Below are 12,252 nucleotides of genomic sequence, written 5' to 3'. Positions count from 1 at the left end.
TTTAATTTTGAAAACCATGTTTATGTATAAATGATCAGCCATTATCTCCAACTATGGTAGAATAGTATCTTTGTTTATTTTCCCTAGAAGCAGATGCAAATTCCTTATTGTCTTCACTGGAACTTAAATTTCACACACACTCACAGGCACACACACACAAACTCATTATAGAATGTTAATGTAATGGTGGCCTCATTTGAGATAGGAGAAAACAAAAGACCAGTGGCCAATGAGGCTGGAGGTCAAAGTGGTTGAGATTTCCAAAAGAGTTTGCAGTTAAAGGACCTGGGCTCTGCAGTCAGAGGGCCTCTCCTTTTTCTAATCACTTGGCTATGGGCAGGTGACCTCAATGGCTTCAGCTATAAATGGAGTTACTAAGAGAACCTACCTCATGGTGCTCTTGTAAGGATTAAGTGAGAACATGCATATGAGGCATCTGGCATGGTGCCTGATTCACAGCATGCATTCAGAGCAGGTTGCCATTCATTTTAGTCTGCTTAGTGCATCTGTAGCAGAATACCATGGCCTGGGTAATTTATAATTAATGGATGTTTATTTGGCTCACAGATCTGGAGTCTGGGAAGTTCAAGAGCATGGCACCAACATCTGGCAAGGGCTTTCATTCTGCATCATCTCATGGAGGAAAATAAAAAGGCAAGTGAGTGTGAGAGAGCAAGAGAGCAAGAAAAGGAAAGGGGGTCAAACTCACCCTTTTATCACGAAAACACTCTATCGATAACAGCATTGATCCATTCATGAGGGAAGACCCCTCATGTCCTAGTCACCTCTTAAAGGTCCAACCTTTCAACACTGGTTGCATTGGGGATTAAGTTTCAACACATGCTTTTTGGGTGGCATAATTAAACCATAACACACTTGTTATTAGGTCAGGAGATTTCCCAAGGTCAGAACAGTGACAGAGCTAAGCCCTGAACTTTTGTGACCTTCAAACCAGGATTGTTTCCACAATTTGTCATACATGGATATTTAGAACATACTTTAGAAGTGGAGGAAAGAATAAAATAATTTGAAGATGGAGTACCCAAAAGCTGTGCCAGACAAGTCCATTGAAACTGTCCTTCACCCAAATTTGAATTAAAAAAATTGTTTTTGCATTGTGTGATTTGGTAATACGGGGAGTATTGGTGTGTTTAAAATTTTTTTTCCATTTGTCAATTCTTATATAGTCTCAGTTGAAATTAAAGACATGAGTATTTAATCATAATGAAAAGAAGGCTTGAATCCACGTATCTCCAAAAGCCAGGTATGGTGGAAAAACAAACAAACAAAACACCAAAGCTCAAGCACAGGGAGTGGAGAAGGGAAGAGGCAGGATCAAAGCTGACAAAGTGGAAATCCTCAAGGGCAGAAGCCAGTTCATCTGCAGATACCATCACTTCCTATTTGAATCATTTTCTTATACTGTGGTCAAACTTGCAGAATAAACCCTCATGTTTCATTCTGGTTCATGCTAGAGTCGGAAGAGAGGCATCTAGGACATATCATCTATGTGCATTTGAATTTGATGATTTGTCTTTCCCATTTACACAAGAGAATTCACAGCCATTATTTCTTCAAATATTACTATTCTTCCAATAACCCTATTGTCCCTTTCTAGGACTCATCATAGATGTATGCTTTCCTCCAAGTCTCATAACCTCTCTATCATATTTTCCACTTCTTTATCTCTCTGTTGTGGTAGTCCAGAAAATAGATTCTGCTCTATCTTCTAGTTCATTAATTTTCTCTTTAGCAGTATCTAATCCCGTTGTTTAATTTATTTGATTTTTAATGTCAAGGATTAAAATTTTTTAATTCTACAACTTCCATTTGGTTCTTTATCAACATTTTCTTTTTTCTTCCATAGTATCTTTTTTGTATAGTTTTCTTTTCCTTTCTTTTTTGGTCTTTAATCATTTAAACATACTTATTTTATAGTGTCTATCAAATACTTGTTATCTGATGTTCTTGGGGTTCTAATCCTACTGTTTCCTCTGTCTTTTTACTCACCCTCATATAGGATTGTTTGCTCACTTTTACAATTTTGAGTTGTAAGCTCTTCTTCAGCAGGGATTTGTCTGTACCTGGTTAGATGGTGTGTCCTTTTGGAGAGTTTTTGAATTTACTTCTTCTTGGTGCCCAAGCAGTTTTACCAGGCTGTGTCTGAATTTTATGTTAATTTCTTGAGGGTTTCAAACTTTAAGGTTACTAAATTCAATACCTCCACCAGTTACTCCCCTCAAATACTCTAGTTTTTAATTCCTTCTTCATTTCGGTATCTACAGTTTCCATTACTTCCTTTCTCTCCCCCTCCCCTCCTTCCCTCCTCCTTCCTTCTTTGTTTCCTTCCTCATATTTTCCTTCCTTCTTTCCTTCCTATCAGTTAGTTATGGCTTAAAATAAATGTCTGTTATAGAGGCAGGTTATTCAGGCAATATTCCCTCCTCTGTTGCTTGAAGCAAATATTATATATGTGTACTCAGTTTTAGGCAGGCATTTCTCAGACACCCTGGTAAACAACCATGCTACTGACCCTTCTCAAACTGATCTCCTACTCTTCTTGTACAATACCGTGTGCCACAGCCATCCTGCTCTCTGGGTTTTTCTAGAATATGCCCCATGATGTCCTGCTTCAGAGGCTTCCTGCTTGCTGCCACTATTTAAGTTGGCCTCACCTGCTACTCCCCACCTGTTAAAATTCTACCCTCCATCAAAGTCCACCTCCAATACCTCTTTCGTCATGAAGCCAACATTGACTCTCTGAAGGAGGTATAAACCCTCCTTCCTCTGACCTCTCTCCTTCTCCTCCTCCCCTTGACTATAGCACCTAGAGTAGCTCATTTACACATCTGCTTATTCTCCAACTAACTTTTAAAAACTGCTTAATGAGGCCAGGCACAGTGGCTCATGCTTGTAATCCCAGCACTTTGGGAGGTCAAGGCAGGCAGATCACCTGAGGTCAGGAGTTCGAGACCAGCCTGGCCAACATGGTGAAACCCCATCTCTACTAAAAATACAAAAATTAGCAGGGCGTTGTGACATGTGCCTGTAATCCCAGGTACTTGGGAGTCTGAGGCAGGAGATTCACTGGAACCTGGGAGGTAGAGGTTGCAGTGAGTTGAGATTGCACCACTGCATTCCAGCCTGGGTGACAGAGTGAGACTCCATCTCAAAAACAAACAAACAAACAGAAAACTGCTTAATGGCAGAACCTAGAATTTCATATCTCTATATTCCCTTTGGTATCCTGAATACTGTTTGGTGTTAGGTATATAAAGAAAATAAATGTGTGTGATTTTAATTGAATCTACCTGAATAAAAAGGATAATATAGGAAAATCGTTACCTATAGGAGGCTGGATGCTCCTGTGAAGTACGTCTTTTATCTACTTGCTATCTTTGCAATTCCTTCATGCTACAATGAGAGATAGAGTTTAAACCTGAAAACATTCTTGGAAAAGGAATCTTCATTAATTCAAATATACCACAAGGTAAAAAATAATGATACTAGTTTCTTTGAGATAGATGTAAGAGAGGATGGAATTGCTATACCCTCTTTCTTACTGCTGCAGTGTGATGGGAAGCGTTTGGTGCTGGGTGGAGGAAGTATTGTCAGTAGCGAAACAGGCAGTGAAGTCAAAGCTGAGCTCCATGGAGACACATTTTTCTGCACTCCTCAGTTCTGCCCTGGACTGGCTTTGAGCATGCTCTCCAAGGAAATGATCTCTACCCTTAGATTATGGTATCTTAGTCAACTTTCCTCTGGGACTCGGGAAAGAAGTTTTTTGCTTTTTATGTTCTTTAATTTCTTTTAATTCACCTCCTAAGGTTGCAATTCTACCATTGCTGTTGACAGATTGGCATGGATTCTTCTTGACTTATTTTTATACATATAATAGCATAATTTTACCCTAATAAAAACAAGATTATATTATATGCACTGGTGTACAATCGTTTTGGTTTTTAATGAACAATGTGATGTGGACACATTCCACATATAACTGCTTAAAAATAACTCCACTGTAGAATAGTATGTAATTTATTTTAACAATCTGAAATTTGCTTTATCAACTATATTTCAAGCTCTATGATTTCAAATATAATAGTCCAGTTCTTCCTATCAAGAATTTAGCTCAGGTATGAAGAGAGAAGAGCCTTCCCTCCAGCCAACAGTTTTCCTTGAGATTACAAGGGAGATTCCTGGAGCCAGAAGACAGGAGGGTGCACACATCTACTCTCAGGATTTTCCGGGTGCATGTGCTGCCTGTCTGCATACTTCTGAGTATGAGTTTCTGTGGGTGCACACTTTATTATGAAAGGAATCTGAAAGAAATTGGATCACTACTGCTAGTAGAGGTAAAAAGTCATATGACAGAGAAGCGGTATAGCATAGTTGTTGAGGTTAAACTACCTGCATTTAAACAACTCTGCATCTACCGGTTGTATGATACAAGAAAAACCTGCTTAGTCTCCTGGGCCACAGTTGTCTCATCTTTAAAATGGGGATAATAATAGAATCTGCTTTAAAAATTGTTAGAAGTACTAAGTGATTTAAAACCTGTAAAGTGGTTACACAGGCCTGGCACATAATAAATGCTTAATTAAATGTTAATAAAGCCTTGATATGTACCCGGCAGTACAAAACAGGAAGAGGAGGCTCAGCCGAAGGCTGAGTGCCATGAGTCCAGCAGCAGCTGGGAATTCTGGTGGTCAAACAAGGGGACTTTCTGGCCCCACAAGCATGGACAGTTTTGGTCTTCCCAGCTTCAAGCCCCAACTCTTTGGGGACTTTACCAACGAACCACAGCTGACATATGTTTTGCTCTGTTTCTCTAGTACAAATCAATGCTGGAGTAGTGTAGGGTACGTGCATGTGGCCCCAGCCCAACTGCCATTTGATGCCAGTTAAGTGGATGTGGATAATTCTGTCGTGTGCATTGTAGGATGTTTAGCGGCAAGCCTGGCCTCTACCCACTAGATGCCAACAGCACACCCTCAGCTGAAACACCCAAAAATGTCTCCAGATCTTGCCAAATGTCCCCTTGAAGGCATGATGGCCCCTGACTGAGAATCACTGATGTAACCTGATATTGGATATGAAAGTTGCTTATTCTAGCACTTTCTTGTGTGTAAACTTTATCTATTTTATTAGACTCTAAGAATTCGCAGGCAGGGACCACCTTTATACACCACCCACTCACCCACCAGCACAGTGCTTGATCCTCAGACTTCACTTAAATACTTATTGCTTAACTCAAAACAGACAATCAAGCTAGTTGGTTAATATTTTAATTTCTGATTTGTACTAAAATTGATTTAAATAAAGGTGACATCAAGACTAATTATTCCTGCTAAGCTTTGAAATGTCAATTACTTCAAAACACATCCTTTTCTTAAAATACATAACATAATTCAAGCTGGGGTTATTTTTGTCTTTTCTCTGATCACAATTCCGTACATACTTCACACAATAGCTGGGATATATAAAGTTTGGTTTTAATTGCCATCTATTCATTTTCTTCTTTACAATGAACTGGAAATATCTCAAATGCACTGAGGACTTCTTTCTAGCGATCCCTTTGTCACTGGTGTCATGATGTTCTGAATTTTAAATCACTAGTGATGCTCAGCCTAAGGAGAGGCGGGGGATTTTGCTCTGTGCCTCACACATGGCCTGGCAGTGTCTGTTCATAATAGCCCTCGCAGCAGTGCTCAAGGAAACTGTTTGTTCCCTCGAGAGGCTTATTATCCTGACATTTATCACATTCTGATAAATAGAAATTCCACACTCTGAATTTTGCTGCAATTTCATATTTTATACTTGTTTTTATCTTGCAAATAGGGGCACGCACGTGAATCTAAACACCAAGATGCACCCATGGGAATAAATGTGCATGACTATGCTCTTCCCAACTGAAAACTGCAGCTCATTGTACTGAGGGTGTAAAGCTGTGATTGAGAAACACACCTGTGGTAACTTTCTACTGGAGTCCTAGAAAATTTCATAACATTGATGAGTGGGCTTAAAGACAAATGTGTGAATTTCCAACAGACAGAGGTGTAGCATCAAGAGAAACCAAAGAAACTTTTGAGAGGGGGCATTTGCATAATGGACCTACTATGGGGTCAGGTGTGGCCCTCAGTATTGGGGATCAGGATTTGAGCTTTGCAATCACACTCATGGGGAGTGGTGTCAGAGACAGACTCATGTGTCTGCAGCTCCCGAGGCTATGCCTATAACTTGTTTGCAAGGAGAAGCGGAGCAGTCGGCAGGGCAGCATCTTATCCCCCATCGGCATTGCTGTAACAGGCTAGGTAGTCATCAGAAGGGAATTTAATAGACTTGAAGAAAGTGTGAAGGGAAATAGATATATGGTCTAAAGATGGACTGCTTTCCAGCCAAAAAGCCCAAGACATGCATTCCCTTGACAGGGACACACACGCCACCCATAACAACCAAGTGGAATTCTGCCCCTTACGATCCTCCCCTTTGGCTTGGATTCTGGTGACATTTGACTCAAGGACACACCTTCAATGTTTCTGAAAGTCAACAAAACCTCTTCTGAATGATGCATTTTTTTTTCTTAAGATAAGTTAGCCTTTAGATAGTTAATTCTCTCCTGGCATCCCACCCAGGAAGCAGAGAGAATGTGGGTGAACCCTAAGGCAAAGGAGACTCAAGTCTTGACCAATGTCCTGCTGAAAAGTGGGAGAGTGATTAAAAATATCAGGTCCATGCTGGACTGAAAAGAGCAAATTTGGACATCTCCTTTTTTTTTTAATTACTCTGAATATCTTTGCTTTGTTTCTTGAAGTGTAGATTTAGAATTTAACTTTCAGAAGACATTCTATTTTTCTCTCTTTTAAATCTTTGAGGATGAAGGTGGGAAGGAACCACATTTTTTACTTCTGTGACAATGAATGAATGTGTGAAGCAAGGTGAAATTTATAAAGTGCCTGTCCCCCACAGAGGCAGTGCTGCAGAACTGTGAAGAGTGTGGACTCTTGAATTGGACTGCTGGGTTGTGAATCCTGGCTCTCTCACTTCTTACGTTGGGGTAATCACCGTTTTTATGTCTCTGTTCCTTCATCTTTAATGTGAGACTAATGAGAATACAAACAAGGGTTATAGAGAGGATCAGATGTGTTAACAGAAATAAAAGGCCCAGATCCATGCCTGGTATATAGCACAAGCCTTTCAAAACATTATCACTGTTTTCTAATCTGATCAACTAAAAAAATCTGACAACTTTTGGTAATTATTTTAGCAAAAAGAAAGCCCATCATTAAACTTTGTTTTGAATGTTTTATGTGCAAGCTCATATCGTCTCTCTCTCAAACATGGGTGAAGTTATATAAAATTATAGGTTCCAAGAGTTTTAGAGATCCTCTTTTTTCTCCTCACTGTGTGTCTCAGGAAGGTGGGAGCCCATGTTGAAGGTCACAGAGCTGAAGTCAAGGTGGGTGGGAGGGCAGAAATAAAATTCATGCCTCTGGATTCCTGACTTTCCACCAAAGAACTCTATCTTGCGCTATTGATGGCCACATCTGATGAAATTCACAGAGGAATTTGACCAGAAAATATCATATTAACAATTTTTCTCCTTCTTCTTTATTAGACTTCCAGCACCATAGATAGATAGAGATATAGATATAGATAGATAGATGATGATAGATAGATAGATAGATGATAGATAGATAGATGATAGATAGATAGATGATGATAGATAGATAGATAGATAGATGATAGATAGATAGATAGATAGATAGATAGATAGGTAGATAGATAGAACACTAACTTAAGACTTTCTCATTGCAACTATGCCACAGAATGTGTGAGTTGTTCATGAAATCCACCAGTAATAGGAGCAACAGGAGAACGTGTAATCAGTAAGAAGAGGAGATGAGAATGCTAAGGGGCACTGCTGTGACCTGACTGTCTATAAGTAGGACATTATCACCTCAGGGTTAAGCATGTCTGCTCATGTCAATACTTGATGAGGGAAAATAACAATATAAATAGATTCTTACCTGCACACATTGCATTTAGAATGTATTTGGTGCCAGGATCTTAGGAACATTTAGAAGAATTATTTTATTTAAAGTCTCAAAAACTTTCTGTGAGGAAAAAAACAAATCTGAAAAGCCTCTTCTACCAGCAAGAACAGCAGCATCTGCTTAAGAACACATAGCAACCCTACATTCAGATTAGGACAGGAAATAAAAAAAAAAACATATCCAATTGAAACTGCGGGAGGACACAGTAGACAGAATGTAATTAGTTGGGTTGACTGTCAGCCAAAACCTCAGGCAACCACCCCCTTGCTCTTATGAAAACTGCCTGGAGATTTTTAATGATGATGAGCAGTTAGGATCTCGGTTTTAAATCTTCTCTGAAATGCAGGGCGCCATCATTCCCTCCAGCGACGCTGGGATATTGGTGCTGGGTTGGCACTGAAGAGCTCTGGAAAAGGTGAACCCTAACTCCTTAAGCAGCAGTAACTTCTGTTACAAAATGTTTGGTGTTGTCAATTCTTTAACTCTAATGAATCCAGCTGAATTTATGATGAGTTGGATGATTTAAAAATAAAGACACTTTGCTCTATGGAATTAAAATTTGGGATTTTGGAACAAATATCTCCATTTTAGTGCTTTTCTCAGCAAAGAGTGATGGGAGGAATTCTGGATTAGGAATTAAGGGGTCCATGGCCAGACCTGAAGATGCTCAGTGCATGATGGGCATGGGCAGGTGCCACCCAATTCTGCTGCTGTTCCTCCCTCAGCTTCCCAAAAGAGCCACTGGAGGAGAATGGAAAGAATGGAGACACAGAAGCCAGCACTGGCTTTGAATCCTTGCTCTGTCTCTTACAAGATATGTGATCCTGGGCAAGCCCCTTAAGCAATCTAAGCCTCAAACCAAAGAAGGCAGAAAAAGAGTTGGGCCTCTTCAATTTCTCAAATCCCTTTAAATGATAAAATATGTTACCTTTATGTATATATACAAAGGGTGCTGTTGATGGTGCTTTCCTGTGCCTGAGATTAGAGATCTGAAAGACCAAGCTGATCCAGGCCTCCTTCCATGCAGATTGTGTGTTTAGTCTGTCCTATGGCTAATGACTGCAGCTGCTTCCTGCGGAGACTGTTATAAGATCTATAAAAGGCCGAGATATTATGGTTTCAGAAGCAGGTAATGAGCATACACAGAAACCACGTGATTTTTTCTTTCCATTTGGACTTTTAGTTTGTAGGCTTTCTACACAGGAGTTCATGGGTACGATGCCAACTCTCACAGACAACAAGGATTTATTGTATTAATAATCTGCAAATTATGGATTGCAAAACCAAAGATGTTTGGGGATTTCATTGAATTTCTACCAACAAAGATGCCTCCATGCTGAGGTTTTCAAGATTTTCACTGTGCCCAGTTGAAATTAATTATAAACTATACATCTATTTGCATGTTAATTATGAAAACATACCATGGAATATATTTAGGATAAAGTACAGCAGAAAAAGATGGCAATTTATGACTACTGTGTACCAAATCAAATGAAATACCCAACTAAGAGTATTTTTCCAAAAATAGGCTTTAAAATATATCTTTCTTCAATGCTGTAGGAATTCAATCCATTCAAATCCACAAACAACAAGCCCATTTGCTAATTTCTTGATTTCAGATTGTTTGGGACAGTATCTACTTGAACTATGATGGGAAACCAATTCCAAAATCAATCTGAATTTAAAAAAATTTTTTAATGATAACCATAAGCATGGTCAAATCTGTTCTATGGATGTGGCTCCACAAATGTGGGTCAAAAAATATGAATCTAAAAATCGAATCCATAGTTAAATAAGTTGTGCATATGCTTGGTTTTAAAAAAATGAATTCTTTTATTGCATATTACCTTTGATGTGCCATACATTCTTTTAAGTATTATGCAAAGTGTTTCACAAATTTCTCCGACCAGGGAACACTTTTTCACAGAGCATCTTCCTGGACCAGTGTTCTTTGGGAAATCCTGGGTCTGATGACTTGCCATTGCTGCCATGTGTCTCCATTCTCTGGTTTCTTCTTGGCTTCCTAGGTTCTGCCACTGTGGCCATCACCTGGGATTGGAGAAAGGCAAATGGAACAGACCAACTCAGAATTACAGTCCTCATTTATTTCATCAGAGGTTGGCCTGTACTTACATTAGCCCTTTCTGGCTAGAGCTTCATGTCTCACCCACTGTCTGTTCACTTCTGACCTGAAACAATGGGACTGCAGAAGAGAGAAGGAAAATATCTGGTGGTCAGGCTAACTCTGTGTACCCCATGATGAAGATGTTTTCCATAGGAGTTCATTGTCACAGGTGAAATTTAGGAGCTGTAGCCAAAGATTTCTTAAGCCTTTCTTTCAATCAGTGTGCCACAGCTATTTGATATGTCAGTCTCAGCAGCTGAGTTCTGGGAAGATTCATCCTCTTCATGAGCAAAGGGAGAATGGAAAGGGGAACTGTCCAACCCAAAGAGGGGAAAATAAAGGAGAGAGGGATATAACATTTTTTAAGCTTCTATTATGTAACCAGTACAGTGCCAGGTGCTTTGTATACCAATTTCAGTTCCAATCCCCATATTAGGATTGAATTTTAAAAGGCTACAGAAGTTAAGAAAAAGAGAGAAGAAGAAAGGATGATGGGGAAGCTAAATGAATATTTCTGACTCAAGGAAAGAGCTATGACACCTCTTACAGAATTCCACCTGGGCCTTTATCTGTCCCTTCCCACTGGGACAGCAACTTCTCCCTTCATTCACATTCCAACCTCTTTTCTCCACTTCTTTCTTTCCCTCTTGCACACTAAAAATCTGACTCCTCATCAACCCAATACCACCTATGTCTCTTCTTTATTCACATTAAAACACCCTCATGCCCCTAGGTTTCCACTGCCTTTTACACTCAACTCTCTGCAATCTGACTTTGGCTGCACCATGCCATACCCAGTTTAACCAGTGGGATCATGAATAACCTTTCAATAGCCAAATCCTAAGGGAAATATTGAGTTCTCCTCTTACATGAAGGCTGTGTCACAACTTGCATTCTTGATACTTTCTTCTCTCCTGATTTATTACAACTGTTCCTTTGTATTTCTCTTAACCCTTTGATTCTTTCTGAGTCTTCTTGCCTGGTTTATCTTCCTCCTCCTCCTCCCTTTAAATGTTGGTGCCTCCAGAATTCCTGTTCTTATCCCTCTTCTTATTTTACATACTCTCTTTGGCTTATCTCATCCACTATTCTCTCTCTAATCTTCTAATTATTATGAGTTCCTGTTCTACAAATGTTGATGCCTCCTGGGTTCTGTCTTACATTTTCACATGTTTGCTGGACACTGCCATGAGGAAGTTCCCAAAGCAAACCCATTTTATTTCCCCTCAAATTTTTTCCTCCTTCAAGAATCCTGTCCTGAATTCAATGGCACTTTATTTGCCCAGTTACCTAAATCAGAAACCCACAAGTCCTCCCCAACTCCAATTCAGCTTTCAACTGCCTCTCCTCTCCCAAGCAAATCTGATCTTATCATTAACACAGAGGCTTTAAACACGTCCAGGGCTTCTCCGTTGCTTGCGGTTTAAAAAGCAGATGTCTTGTATGGCACTCAAAGCTCTTTAAAAACTGGCTCTAACCTATGTTTTCAGTCTCGTCTCCCATCACTCTCATTCCCAAATTCTCATCATGACTTGCATAACTTAAATCATCCTTCACTGCTGGTAGCTCCCTAAATATTCTGGATTTTCATTCATCTCGATGCATTTCCTGAGGATTGCTTTCTTGAACTTGACCTTTTTACGTGTATTCTTCAAGATCTACCTCCTCTCGGAGAAACTCTCCCCGTCTTCTCCTTTCTATTGTCCCCTGAGTCATGGGTCGCTCTGAGTTCTTTCTGAACCATTATAGGGAATTCTAGTGTAGGGCTTCTTACATTGAATTGGAATTATTTGTCCAAGTGTCAGCCTTCTCAACCAGACAGTAGACATTCTTTCCTCTGCTCCTTTCTGGCCTCCAGCACAGGCTGACACAGTGCCTAGTTACATGCATCATCAATTGAAACCTCTCCCTTAACCCTGGTTGTCTCAAGTGTCACTGATGTCCAAATAATATAGGTGTATCTCTCCCTTTGTACCTCTTCTGCCTCACCTCATTACTGCTTCTCCTTTGCAGTTAGTAGATATAAAAGGTGGGTAACTTGCATAATTTCTCTATGCTTCACTTCCTTTA

At 39.7% G+C, this 12,252-nt stretch overlaps 3 long non-coding RNA genes across 5 annotated transcripts in view; 2 read left to right on the top strand and 1 right to left on the bottom strand.

Annotated features, from left to right (window-relative positions):
• Positions 1–12,252, top strand: part of LINC03069 (long intergenic non-protein coding RNA 3069) — a 187,650-nt gene that overhangs the window by 85,082 nt on the left and 90,316 nt on the right. The gene's annotated exons all lie outside the window — the stretch shown is intronic.
• The window catches only part of LINC01539 (long intergenic non-protein coding RNA 1539), a 54,181-nt gene that overhangs the window by 31,356 nt on the left and 10,573 nt on the right, over positions 1–12,252 (top strand). Inside the window, exons 4-5 of one of the 2 annotated variants that reach the window (NR_040026.1) lie at positions 568–654; positions 3,352–3,490. This is a non-coding gene — a long non-coding RNA (long intergenic non-protein coding RNA 1539). The remainder of the gene's footprint in view (positions 1–567; positions 655–3,351; positions 3,491–12,252) is intronic. The other variant, NR_040025.1, reaches the window with a different exon arrangement.
• The window catches only part of LINC01905 (long intergenic non-protein coding RNA 1905), a 54,038-nt gene continuing 51,651 nt past the window's right edge, over positions 9,866–12,252 (bottom strand). For both annotated transcript variants that reach the window (NR_146510.1, NR_146511.1), the window contains one exon: positions 9,866–10,106. This is a non-coding gene — a long non-coding RNA (long intergenic non-protein coding RNA 1905). The remainder of the gene's footprint in view (positions 10,107–12,252) is intronic.

This window comes from Homo sapiens, chromosome 18 (assembly GCF_000001405.40).
Source record: "Homo sapiens chromosome 18, GRCh38.p14 Primary Assembly".
In the NCBI taxonomy this organism is placed as follows: domain Eukaryota; kingdom Metazoa; phylum Chordata; class Mammalia; order Primates; family Hominidae; genus Homo; species Homo sapiens.
Note: the sequence above shows the minus strand (reverse complement) of the source record. Positions and strands in the feature narration are given on the sequence as shown.